The following is a 13,554-nucleotide window of genomic DNA, read 5'->3' as shown; positions in this document are numbered from 1 at the left end:
ACCCAAAGCCAACTTGTGTGAGCCTCTTCCAGGACCAAACAGTACATGAAAGGAATGGGTAGGGGGATCTGTTTGGAGCCCGGCAGGGGTAGGTCTATGTAGGGTCTGCAGCTCCATGGAAGGCTGAGGAGGCTGGAGAAGAGTGCCTCAGGCAGCTCCGGCTCCAGAAACACAATGCTTTGGCACAGTGAAGATTTCCTGCCAAAGGTCCAAGTGGCCACCTCTCTGGCCCCTCCCTCATCCCCCTTCATACACCAGAGTGAAAGCAGGAGAGAAGTGGGTCAGGAGGCTAACTTGCCACTGCTGGCAGCCAGCATGTGTTTACAAATCCAGGCCATGCATGAGAGCTTTGATTCAATGAGAAAGCGTGAAGCCAGGAACAAGTTCGTTGCCTATGCTAGAGGGCCCGAGGGGGTATGGAATCTGAAGGAGCTTGGCATTTTCCAAAGAGCCATCATTTTACCCCAGGCCTTCCCTAGATCTGTAAGAGAGGAGTCTGACCTTCCCGCAAGGATTATTGCCAATTAGCTTTCCCCTGTGTGAAGGAATGGCTGTTCCACTGTCTCCCATTGGAGATGTGGTTATGGGATGAGGTCATCCACAGTCCCCTGGATGACAGATGAGGAGCAGAAGGCTGAGAGAGTTGGGAGGCAGGACCCATGTGGAGACAGCTCCTGTCACCTTGTTACCGTTCGTCCTTTAGCCTCTTGTCTGCAGAGAGACATCTGGATAGAAATGGTCTCCTTCCTCCTCAGCAAAGAGTGGGCACATTCACATGCCCACGGACCATTCCCTTGCTTGAAAAGAAAAAACCTTTCTTCAAATGGAGGGGGCTGGGACTTGACCTTTTCCTCCATTGGCTTTTAAGCTCCCAACTGACTTGACCTCTTCCCCCAGCTGAGAGGCTGGCCTGAGCCAACTCTCAGATCCACAGAGAGCTGACTTCACTCTAACTCTTGGATAAGCAGACACAATGGAGAAAGCTCAGTGGCCAGAACCGGTTAGCGCCAAGAGTGAAATTCTCTGGCTGCCTGATGTCACCAGTCAGGCATCCAGAGTCCCACAGCCTCTGAGGGCACCAAAAATGGAGCCAAGCACCTCCTCCTAGTACATCTGAGAGCACTTGGCATCAATTCATGTGCTGTGCACCCCAGAACACCAGTTAGTGTGGGACCCTGGCCAATTTTAAGGCTTCCGGTCAAAATGCTACCCAATCTTTGGCCCTAGTTCAACGACTTCCAGGCAGCTCCCTCCTGTTGCCTCCACAATCTGCAGACAACCCACACTGATGGGGATAGACTGGCTGCAGAGGCCAAGAATGACCCACCCTCTCATCTCTTTTTATTTTCACTCATATGAAGGCTAGGCTAGAATGCGGAACCTTCACAAGCTCCAGGACTGGTCCTGGCCCCTGCCTGGCTCAGCCACTGATCAGCTATATTACATAAAGGGAGGGCCCTGGCAGAAGAGTGAGCTATTGATTTTTAAAGTAACCCAGACCTAGCAGAGAGGAATCATGGAGGGAAAAACCACCTCCAAGCCTGTTCCTTTAAGAAGTAGCAGAGCTGATGATGATGCATGCTTTGGCAGTGGTCCGCTACCAGGGTGCAAGGTAATACACTTCAGCTGCACTCTGGAGTATGGAAATAAGGCTCTGACAGGGGGAGGAGGGGGCTTGAGCACCCAGCATCTGGATTCCTCCTTTATGGAGACAAGCTGTTTGGCTCAGAAGGCAACTCAGTCACTAACACCAGAAAATGTATCACTCCACTCAGCTGGTCCCCAAGTTCCACTGATCCCTGGGAAGGAACCTCAGTGACAGCTGGAGAAGGTGCTTGGAAGGCAAGTTTGACCAGAAGCCAGGGCAGGTGAGGAATGGGGCTTCCTGAGGCTTGGTGACACCCCTTCCCCCAATTCTAATTGCACATGCTGCCATCTCACTTCTCCATCTGTTCAGACACTGACATTTCCTAAGCCACAGCAATGGAAATGAACTGTAAATGGTTTGATTTTCCCCAGGAAGGAAAGGAAGGAAACCAACTCCACATTTCTATCTCCAGGACAGCGTCTCACTCTCCATAGAGGCCAACTGATGACAGCAAATCCTCTGGTTCCACTGCCACAGCTGTCATTCTGGAGTGGGGATTTCTAGAGTCTGGATGCTAATCTTAAGGGAAGCATCATTCCTGAGGAGCACACATGTTGCTGTTTTTTGGTCCCCGGCGTCCACTCCTCCTTTTTTTGGTAGCTTTGGTCTAACTGCCCTCGGCGAGGGGAACCTCCCACTCCACAACTCAGGCCACGTGCTTTGCATGGACCCAGGCATAAGCACTTTACCCAATCAAAACCAATGAGACACACAAACTTTATGGGGGCTTTGAGGAGGGAGGCAGAGACTCTTTCCACTAGATTTCAACCTACCAGGGAAGGCTGGAAATGCAGTCACCTTGCCTCCATGGGAGAATGGCCTGTCTGAGAATGGAGTTAACACACAGGAAGTAGTACAGAGACAGCAAAACAGTATCTTGGTAAAATTCCTCCTCCTAAAGCCAACTATACCCAAAGGTCCATCTTGATCTTTTCTATTGCATAAGCCCTATACAACCTCCTTCTAATTTCACCAGTAGGAGAAATGGTGGCTCTTATCCACAGGAATGAGGTTCACTCTGACTTGTACACACAACCACACAAGTGGAACCAAAAGATTCAGAACAATGAAAACCGAGGAGCTTCTCCTGCCTCTCACTTTAGCTTTTTTAGGCCCTTTTTATTCTAGTCACTGGAGGCTAAGAGTCCAAAACAAGGCCCCCATGTTCATGCTCCCCTGTCTGGGCAACCAGCATCAGGCCTTTGGGATAGCATCTTAGCTCCTTTCCTTCCTGCAGGTACCCATTCTTTTTTATTCAATACCCAAACTATACACTTCATCACAGTCTTCTAATTTCAGGAGAATAAGATTATTCAGAACTCTGCCAAATGCCAAAAGATCACAGCATTCCCTGCCTAGCCCTCGCTTCCCCACTAAAGCCTCTAGGATGTGGCCCCACCTCAGCTCTCATTTCTTCTAGCCTCACCACTGGGAGCGCCCCCCTCCCTCACTTTCCTTTCACCATCCTGAACTGTTGGTAGTTTTTAGAATATACCTGCTGTTTTTCACCTTCTTTGATCCTGCTGGGCCCCTTTGGATACCCCTCTCTATGCATAGTTTGAACCCTCCTCAAGCCTTAGCGACCTTATTCCCCAGACTGTAAGCTCCCTGAGGGCTTTAATCCCCCATGTCTGCACCCAAGCCCGAGTGTCTGACAGCAGGCACTCACTAACTGTTTGCTCAATAAGTGGAATGTGCCTCACCCACCTGACAAAAAGCCGGGCCCAGGCCTCTCCCACCCCAGAATAATGTGCCTTCTGTGTAATTAATCTAGACAAGTCCACTCAAGCCCCTTGAGGGTGGGGGTATAGGGAAAGGGCCTCACCATATCCCCCATGTGGGGCTGAAACTCAAACTTCATAGGGGGGCAGAAGACGTTGTTGTACATCTCCATGAGGCGCTGCTTGTCACTGGTGGCATCCAGGTTTTCTACTGCATTCTCGATGGCATCCAGACCCTCATGCTTCGACTGTTCCAGGTTTAACTCAGCAGAGAGGAAGGTGCGTAGAGCCCGGTTCAGACTTGCATGGTAGCCTAAGTCACAACACTGCTGTGGGAAGGAGAAGGCACATGAGCACACCATGGACAGCCCCAAGGCTTGGCAGAAAAGGAAGGTGGTCCAGAGGGCAGATCTGACCACATCAATAGGCTTGGCTGTGCAGTAGAAAGAGGGCTGACATTCCGACTTCCAAGGTCTGGGTGAGAGTTCTCAGTTCTTGACTCCCAATTCAACAGTTAAACACACCCTAGAGGGCTGTGAGGCGGTTAGGAGGAAGAAGATTCATAAGGATAAAATGACATTATTTAATTAAGCGCTACTTCATAAACATGAGAAGAATTGAGAGTTAAAGAGAATCCTCTTTCATTTTCAGGTTTATCTGGGGTTGTCATTATAACAAAATTCAACAATAAAAATACAACCTGCCACTCACTGAGGGTTACTGTGGTTAAATCACTATATAGCAACCAAGCCAGGCCATTTCAGGGTTCTGAAAGCAGGAGTATTGCAACAGCAGCTAATGTATGCAAGCTCAACTCTAGATGGGAGAAGGAGAGAATGGGGAGCTGACTCTGTGGGTCATCATCCCCACCAATGCCCAACATCCTAGGACAGGCCTTAGCTGCAGACTAGGGTTTCTGACATGCCTCCTCCTTCCTGGCATCTGACAACAGATGCCCCTGCACTACAGAAATAGCATTTATAAGACTAAAAAGCTCTACGCAAAAGTGTTACTGGAAAAATTCATGCCATGTAAAGGATTCTGATTTTTTACAACAAAATGCAAAAAGAGGCAACTGTATAAAAAAAGCACTGGCGCAGAATCAAGCAACCTTGGAAAAGCCACTCCCCTTCTCTGGACCTGTTTCTTCCATAGTAAAATGAACAGATTTGGCCAGGCTAGTGGCTTTCAAGCAGTAGACCAGAGCTGGCACTGAAGCTGCCCTTGAGAAGTGAGTAAAAGGACAACCCAACTACTAGGACTTGGAGTCTTCTATTCCTCCTTCAACCAAGCCAACCCTGCTCTTTTTTCTATTTAATATTTAGGGATTCTATGTAAGGTTTGGTTTGAAGAAAGAATTCTTCTGTTAGAGAAAAGTCTGAAAATCCTTGGACTAAATGTAATCCCTAAGGCCCTCTTCAGCAATGGCATTCTGTAACTCTGTGATAATATTCCCCATCCCTCCCAAAAGACCCAGAGATCCCAATTCCTTGGCCATCCATCATCTTCTCTATTGCTTAAGCAGCTCTGAGGTCCGGGTCCTGAGAAGAAACCTCAAAGAAGAATCTATGCATAGAGTAAGGCCATCTGCCTGATTGCCATTTCATTGCACAAGCAAGCATCAAATTAACTCTCCCCACAGCCTTTTCCTCTCATCATGATCACATTGGAAGCAGCTACTATTGGGGAAGAAAAGGCATATGATGTGCCTCCTCTTTCCTGGCATCTGACAAGAAGCTCAGTGAGAACATCAGTTGGGTTGGGCTCTGGGTTCAGTGCCAACAGGCCCTGGCAGCTGCCTGGCTGCAGTGGAATAACAGCAGTTACAACTTAACTAGAGGCAGAGGATGGAAAGACATTAAATTCAGTTGGGAGGGAAGAGCAAATGGAAGCTAGACAAAAGCGGCTCATTAGGACTCTGCACGGGCATGGGCTCTCTGGGAGATGCTGCTGGTCTCACCAGGCTGCCCTTGAACCTGTAAACCTTCCTGACTAGCTCTATGTAGACCCTGTTGATGAGCTCTATGCCTATAAGTCTAATGAACAGAAGTAACACGGCCCACAGAGTGTATGAGTGTGGGTGGAGGGGGTGTGGGCAGGGGGTAGAATCTGGGAGAGAAAAGTTACCCTTCAAAAAACTTTTACCTGTTTTTGGTAATTTCCCTTTCCTCTCCATTCTTACTACCTCTACCCCTATTCATACCCTCACCGTCTGCTTCACTGTCCTAAACTGTGACTTTAATTATGGCACTTTCCTGTTGAAGAACCTAAAATACCTCTCATTTTTTTTCCCCAAGGTAAAATCCACCTTCCTCAGTTTTGAAATTTAAAAAATGCTTCTATTTCACTAAGTATGCTTACTATACGTCAGTCCATGTGCTAAGTGCTTTATATACATTCTACATTTTAATCCTCATAATAACCCCAATGAGGTTGGTATAATCTTAATTTTCCAGGCTTGAAAGCTGAGGTTCAGTGAAGTTAAATAATTTGAGCAAGGTTCAATAGCCAGAACAAACTGTAATCTGTCTTCAATCTACCCATCCAACATCAACTCCCTTTATTTTCTTCTTCAGATTCATCTGCTCTAATCCAATGAAATACTCTCTGTTTAGGGTAGAGTATTAGTCTTCAAATCAGCTATATGGCCATAAGCAAGCTACTTAATCCTTCTGGGCCTCAAATGAGGATAACACCAGCCACACAGTTTGTTGTAGGCTAACAGGCAATATATTTACAGATATTTGGTACCATGTAGACACTTTAAAAAAATACTAATATAGCTCCAAATCCACTGACCTCTGCCCTTCAGCTCCCAGAATGTCCTTTTCCTTAAATGTTTCCTATGCCTCTCACCTGTTGGAATTGGACCAGATCTTCAAGATCCAGATTAAATTCTTAGCCTCTGGGAAGCCAGCCAACCCTGCAATCCTAGACTCCAGTGACCCTGGCCTCTACTTAGAAACACACTAATCTACAGCTTTCATATGACAAGGAATACGCTTCTTCATTCTATGACTTGCCATGTCATATCACCCCAACCAGACTAGCTTCTCACTCTTCTTTACATCCCTCAGCATTAGGCCTTGCTCACAGCAGGCATTTAATAAATTTCAGTTGACTGATTGATACCACAAATACAGATTCCAGCCTCTCAGGAAATAAAACATTTAGGCTGAATACTGACCTAAGTCAAGTGGGTAGATGGGGCCAGTGAAGCCATTTGTTTTGCTTACTCTATGGCCAAAGGGAGGCTGGGAGTTTTCCCAGGCTGGCACACTGCCTCTGTTTATATAACTATTCTGTAGCTTCTTTGTGCCAATGAGTGAGGGTCTGAGTCACAATGTGCCCCTGGCTCCTCTACACCTCTAGCCAACCAGGCAGATTCGGAAGAGGTTCTCCAGAGTCTTGACTATCTATATACCTGTAGGGGAAACAGCCAGAAACCGAGCCTTCAGCGAAGAAGCAATATCTGGCAAGGTTAGGTAAATGAGATTTGAATATTTCATCCTGTTCCAAGAAGAATCCCAGTAAGTACAGGAAGCACATTATTTTGCTCACAGTGGGGACAAAGCAGGCTTTCCATGGCTTCTGATGAGTTCTGTGGCCACGCTGGACTCCCCTGGCCATTTCTGGGTTATATAAATGTTTGATGAAAAATCTCTCAGGGGAAATCAAATTTTTGTAAGAAGTTAATGACAGCCCATCCAGATGTATGATGACTTGAGTTGATAGCTCATTAACCCTTTCCCAGCTGATATCTTCACCCAGAGACTCCACAAGGCCTGGAAAGGAAAAATGGGTGTTTCACAACACCCACTTCAAGTTCACACAAAAGAGAAAAATAACTGCCCTTAATGACATTTCTTACTGAAACAGCCAAGTTCCCTCATGTCCGACTTGGGTGCACATGGTGTCACAGACCTTCCATACATGTACACGGCACTTACAACACTCCAGCTATGCATGAGGACAATGCCCTGTTCTTCATTCATCCATCTGCTCCTGGGTTGAGAGAGCCAGAAGAGTATGGGGGAGGAAAATTACATTCCAGTGAGCCTACGTTCTTAGATGCCATCAAATGAGCTCAGAACGTCTTTTTGGCCTGAAGTCAAGGTTTCCCCAGTGTGGCAGATGCCTCACGTGGATTCCTACAGTCTGAAGTTTAAATCTTGCACTATACTATAAAAAGAAGTCGGAGGCTAGTCCTTGGTCAATGTAATGGCATCAACAAAAATAACTTCTTTTCACTTATCCTCAATGCCTTATGCACACATTTGGCTTCAGAACCACTAAGAAGGAGGCAGAAGGCTGTACATGACACAGATGGCAATGGACTGCAACAGGATTCATCCCATGTCTTAAAGCAAGTAATGAATAATGTTAAGATCAGGATGCCAATATCCCAGGCTCCTCACTTAGTCCTGCTCTAACTGCATCCTTTTGGCCCTTTTTATCTCATAGGTCAGCAAGAAAAAGAAAGACACTACCGATACATGCAAACAACATGGATGAAATTCAAAAACATCATGCTGACAAAAGATGCCAGACACAAAAAAGGATAATCCCATCTTTGTGAAGTTCTACAATGGGCAAAACTAATTTATGGTGAAAGAAATCATAACAGTGGTTGCCTTGGGGTGGGGGATTGGCTGGGAAGAGACAAGAGAAACTTTCTGAGGCAATGGAAAGATATCTCTTATCAAAATATTTATTCTATATCTTGACATAGGTTACAAAGATGTACAAATTTGTCAAAACTCTTGAAACTGTAACACTTAAGTTTAGTTACTGTATGTAAATTATACTTCAAAACCATATTGAAAGGTACAAAAAGAAAAACCGATCTTAGCTTAGATGATCATCTTCCTCCTCTTTCTATTCCTTTCTTCCTTCAGTAAACACACTATGTGCTCAGCTATATATTAAGCACTGGAGGCTACTAAGGTAAAGAAAACTCTTGGTTCCTGCTCTCACAGAACTTAACAGATGAGACTGAGATCTTCCTCTGTTCATAGTACAATGGCTCACAAACACTTTTTTGACTCCCAACTCACAATAAGAAACACATCTTCTATTGTCACACACTCCCCCATAGGATGTACAAGTGTGTACATACATATCTAACATAAAAGTTTCACATAATCTTACCAATGTGATGTACTCTAATATTTTCTTTCTTATTCTAGTCTCATCTAGTCATCTGAAAACACAGGTTAAACCAATAAAAGTGATTTCCTGGCTTTCTTAAGGGATCTGACCAATGGTTTGAAAAATGTTGTCTTACAGCCTATGACTACCTCTAGGGTGAGAACTACTATAATCCATTTTTACCCCAATACTGAGCACGTGGCTTCTCCCTAAATAAATATTTACTGAACATTTATAGAGCAGAATAATACAACTTTAAAAAAAATAATGAATGTGTCCATATCCCAGGAAAAACAACAAAAACCCAACCAACCAACAAACTAAAACAAGACACAACCAAAACAGCAGCAAAGAAACGAGGCTGAGGCAGGCGGATCACGAGGTCAGGAGATCGAGACCATCCTGGCTAACACAGTGAAAACCTGTCTCTACTAAAAAAATACAAAAAATTAGCTGGGCGTGGTGGCGGGTGCCTGTAGTCCCAGCTACTCGGGAGGCTGAGGCAGGAGAATGGCGTGAACCTGGGAGGCGGAGCTTGCAGTGAGCCGAGATCGCACCACCGTACTCCAGCCTGGGCGACAGAGAGAGACTCCTTCTCAAAAAAAAAAAAAAAGAAACATGAGAAACTTTATTACTACCTATGTAGCCTTTTGATCCCAGTGATCTAGACCCACACCCTGCCAAGTACTAAGGCAGCCTCTTTTTCAATGGCATGTCACACCACATCCTGTGAAATTAGGCTCTTAGCAGACGTTTTTTTTTTTTTAAATGATGAAAATAAGGTACAAAATACCTCACTTCTTGGACTGATTTTAAAACACTTGGTTATACCTGATGGAGAATCTATGGATTGCAAAGGTTGTGGCTGATACAGCAGTAACCCCTCCCTTCCCCTGAGATCAGTATTTCGGTGAAAAAGGTAGGGAAGTTGCCTTGAGTACAAAAAAAGAGAAGAGGGCTAACCAATAGCAGTGGTGTGGCAGACAGCACAGTCTGAATTTTTACCAAATGCGAGATAAATAGCAGAAATTGTGCATAAGAAAGAATGGATTCTCTTCCTTATGCTGAGAACAGGCCTCTCTCCCAACAATGAGGAGCTCTTCCCCTGAGGAGGAGAAAGGATCTTGTTTAGGGCTCTGACCTCCATTGAAGGACAGTGTTCAGATTGTCATCAATAAGCAGAGAGAACAAAGAGGTACCAGAACAGGGAGCAAGGCTCTACTAACCCAGTGAGACAATGACACCTAGGGCATTAAGTGGCTGAAATCTACTGAATCAAAAATCCTCGGCTAAAGGGAGACAGGAATCTGTATTTTAGAGAAGTTCCCCAAGCAACTCTTACGTGAGGCCAGATTTTAATACCAGGGAATTAGTCCAGTTCTTCAGTTAGCTAGAGGAGCTTGGGAGTGGGTGAGAAACAAAGCTGGGTTTCAGAACAATTCAGTGACAAGCCTAGATGACCCAGGTGGTGATATAACAGCAAGACTCGGACCCAAATCCCATATGATGTTGTGAGGTGTGGCAGGTTTGCTTGTGGAGAAACCAAGGCAGGAAAGCAAGAGTGGTCGGGCCAGAGTTTTGCAAAGCCCAACTGCTGCCAACAAGACCCTGAAACAAATGGCAGGCCTCCGAGATGAGATACACTTGAAGCCCCAGAGACTGGGATGCTAAATTGGCTGGCTCCAGATGCCTCACTTTGATGACTGGAAGGAGAGGTGAGAAAGGGTGTAATTACATAGCTTCACTTAGGTGTGGCTCAGGACCTGGGCCAGATTGGAGTCTGTAGGTGAGAGGGCTTGTAAGACCCAACTGTAAGGGGAAGCAGCAGGAAAAACAAGGCCAAGAATAACTCACAGGCAAAAAACAAAAAGCTTATCCCTGCGCTTGCCCCTTGCAAAACACATGTGCCTATTAGCCGCTTTCCTCAATCCCCTTTGCATCACATATTTTAAAAAATGGGCCAGATGTCAGGGGGAGCTGGATACCTTCCTGACAGGACCCTAATTTGCAGCATAACCTTGGACAAGTGAGTCTCGTAGTCCTCTGGACCTTGAGCTTCCTTATCTAGCAACTGGAGACAGCAATGCTTACCCATAATGGTGATGTGAGAGTCAAATGAGTTAACACTGAGAAACCTTAAATGCTATACAAATATAAGGGATGGCATTGTAACTCTTTAGTTAAGTTCTTGCCACTCACTTCTGTGCAAGAGAAGCTGATGTAATAAAGTATTTCCTAGGTCGGGTGCAGGGCCCACACCTGTAATCCTAGCACTTTGGGAAGTCGAGGCAGGTGGATCACCTGAGGTCAGGTCACCTGAGGTGAGGAGTTCCAGATCAGCTTCACTAACATGGTGAAACCCCATCTCTACTAAAAATACAAAAATTAGCTGGGCATGGTGATGCATGCCTGTAGTCCCAGTTACTGGGGAGGCTGAGGTAGGACAATTGCTTGAACCTGGGAGATGGAGGTTGCAGTGAGCCAAGATTGCACCACTGCACTCCAGCCTGGGGGACAGAGCAAGACTCTATCTCAAAAAAAAAAAAAAAAAAAAAAAAAAGGAAGAAAGTATTTCCTGGCAGATAGACGAGTGTAGTGGTTATGAGCCTGGGTTGAGTCATCAGGCCTAGGTGCAAATTTTGCCTCTGTCATTTGTTAACTGACTCTGACTAAGTCATCTAAACTCTCTGTTAATCTGTAAAAATATAGATAATAATGCCTTCCTCCCAGAATTCCAGTTAGGATTGAATAAGTGTGAAGTGTTTCACTTGGTGCTTGGCAAGCACCCTGATGGATCATGGCTGCTATCTTCCTAATTGTTCTCAAAATGCACCAGATTCCTGAACAATAGTATCGGGGAATGTCTGACGAGTATTCTGAAACCAGAAAAGAGGTGCCCTCAGGCCCTTGGCTTTAAGCACTTACATCAATAAGGTCAGATAGGTCATGGATGTAGTACTTGAAGACAGATGCATTGGTTGCCTCCAAAGCCAGCAAGTACTCATTCCGGGCTTTGATGGCCTTCAGCTTATTCTCCGTGTACTTGGCTTGACGCTGAAAAGGAAACAGAAGTTCACTTTTACCTTTTTTTTTTTAAGGGGGGCTTGTTCTCTAAAAGATAAAAGTACAGTGTATTCAAGAACTACAATTGTGTTGCTACTCCCTATGCGCATCTGCCTTAAATTGGGTTCTAATTCTGTTTAATGAGATTCAAGGGCACAATGTAGATCAATTCAGGAAAGGTTAATGAGGCTCCCTACTTAAGATGCGTGCCCCACTTTGATTCTATCTTCAAATATCATTCTTCATTCTTGCAATGCCACTCTGAAGGAGGTACCACTACTCTTGCCCCTGAACACCTGATACCTGAAACCAAATCCTGGGTTTACAGTCACCCCCAACCCCTCCAAAGCAATAGGATATTGAGCTCTATTTGGAAAATGGATTGGGAAAGGTGACTGCTGTTTCTTGGTTTTCTGCTAGAGGCTAGAAACTTGGATCCCACGTGCCCAGTTCTTCCAATACCTAGTATTCCTGCCAGGGCACAGAGCAAGGCCTCATTTTCAGTCATTAGGCACTAAAAGAACCCAGAGCTTCCTCGTCTGCTCTTCCCAGTGACTACTGGGAAATTCCTATCAGCCATGCCTTACCGAATGTTGCTTCCCAGCATCTACAGCTGTGGGAGCCTACATACCTTCTCCTTCATCTTCTCAATCTTCTTCACTGAGCTCCTCCGGACATGTTTCTCCTCAATGCGAACGTTGGCCGTGGAGTCAGGGGAGCGTGGGGTCTGCCGGTCCTCCTGCTTTACCGATTTACCAATTTGCTTCTCCTCCTGCTTCTCCGCCTCCTTTAGTTTGCTCTGAGCACTGATGCTGTCGGCATTGTACATGTGATATGTCTTCATCACCTGCAAGACATCGCCCACCCCCACCCCCAGAGGTCAAGCCAAGGGGGTCATTTCTCTGCTTTACAGACTAACAGACTCAGCTGGAGCTCTCCCCCATGAAGCAATATCCTCACACCCCTAAGGGAAAAATCCAGAAGTGTTTGGTTCAGCAAACACAGATTAAAGACCACTCCAAAGCACAGGAAAGCAATATGTGAACTGAGCCAACATTTCCTCTTATTGAAATAACTTAATGTCTATCCATCATGTATTATTTATTTCTATTCATTATCATTTGTAATCATTTCTCTTTAATATTGGCCAGGTGATTTCTATCACTTAGTCACCTCATAATACTGAGTAGATGGGAAACAACACCACCACTCTCAGGCCCCAAGGGCAAAGCCTTTCTGGGCTGGTCAGGAACCCCGAAGAGGGCAGTGCAGCCTATGGAGTAGCCTATGCTTTCTGTTACCTTTCAGATATAAAATAGGGAAGAGGAAAAGCTTCCAAAAGCTCCTTTTACCGGCCTGGCATTCTGGGGATCTGTCTGTTCTGCTTTATCCAGATCAAACACCCTCTCACAGCAACTGCAATGCCAGTTATCATTTACTGAGCACTTAGTATATTCCTGGCTTTATGCCAAGTACCACACAACACATTTTCTCATTTCATCCTTAGGACAATTCCACAATCTAGACAACAACCCTATGAAGACTGTAAGCCTTCAAAACAATTCAGGTAAGAGTCTGGGAAGGAATAAAATCCATATCAAGTATAACTGGAATTGCCACAGGAGGGAAGTAGTATAAAAGGTGAAGGATGATTTTCCATCAAAGCAACCATCTAGGAGTCCAATCCTTTCTCTTAACAGGGAGGCCAGGAAGCCTAGAACTCAAGCTTGTTTCCAATCCTACTAAACATACTACTTCCAGCCACCTAGTGCCTGCTCTACTCTGTGGGAACTTTCTGTTTCCACACAGGGAGTTCACGAGTGCTGAAAGTGTGATGCCATAAGATTTCTTTGAGATGGAGAATTAGAGAGTAGAAGTTGGGTGTGTGTGTGCATGTGTGTGTGTGTGTGTGTGTGTGTGCATGTGTGTGTGTAACACAGGAGTGCAAAGGTACAATATTATTATTAATAT

At 45.3% G+C, this 13,554-nt stretch overlaps 1 protein-coding gene across 18 annotated transcripts in view; it reads right to left on the bottom strand.

Moving 5' to 3' along the window:
- SRGAP2 (SLIT-ROBO Rho GTPase activating protein 2) overlaps positions 1–13,554 on the bottom strand; it is a 260,896-nt gene that overhangs the window by 59,318 nt on the left and 188,024 nt on the right. For 13 of the 18 annotated variants that reach the window (XM_011509354.3, NM_001377444.1, NM_015326.5 and 10 more), the window contains 3 exons: positions 12,215–12,430; positions 11,446–11,574; positions 3,474–3,698 (listed from right to left, as the gene is read on the bottom strand). In XM_011509354.3, coding sequence (XP_011507656.1) covers positions 3,474–3,698; positions 11,446–11,574; positions 12,215–12,430 — 570 coding nt within the window. The remainder of the gene's footprint in view (positions 1–3,473; positions 3,699–11,445; positions 11,575–12,214; positions 12,431–13,554) is intronic. The other 5 variants (XM_011509355.3, NM_001170637.4, XM_047416531.1 and 2 more) reach the window with 1 other exon arrangement.

Source organism: Homo sapiens, chromosome 1 (genome assembly GCF_000001405.40).
Source record: "Homo sapiens chromosome 1, GRCh38.p14 Primary Assembly".
In the NCBI taxonomy this organism is placed as follows: Eukaryota; Metazoa; Chordata; class Mammalia; order Primates; family Hominidae; genus Homo; species Homo sapiens.
The sequence above is the reverse complement of the archived record's forward strand: the minus strand, read 5'-3'. Positions and strand labels throughout refer to the sequence as shown.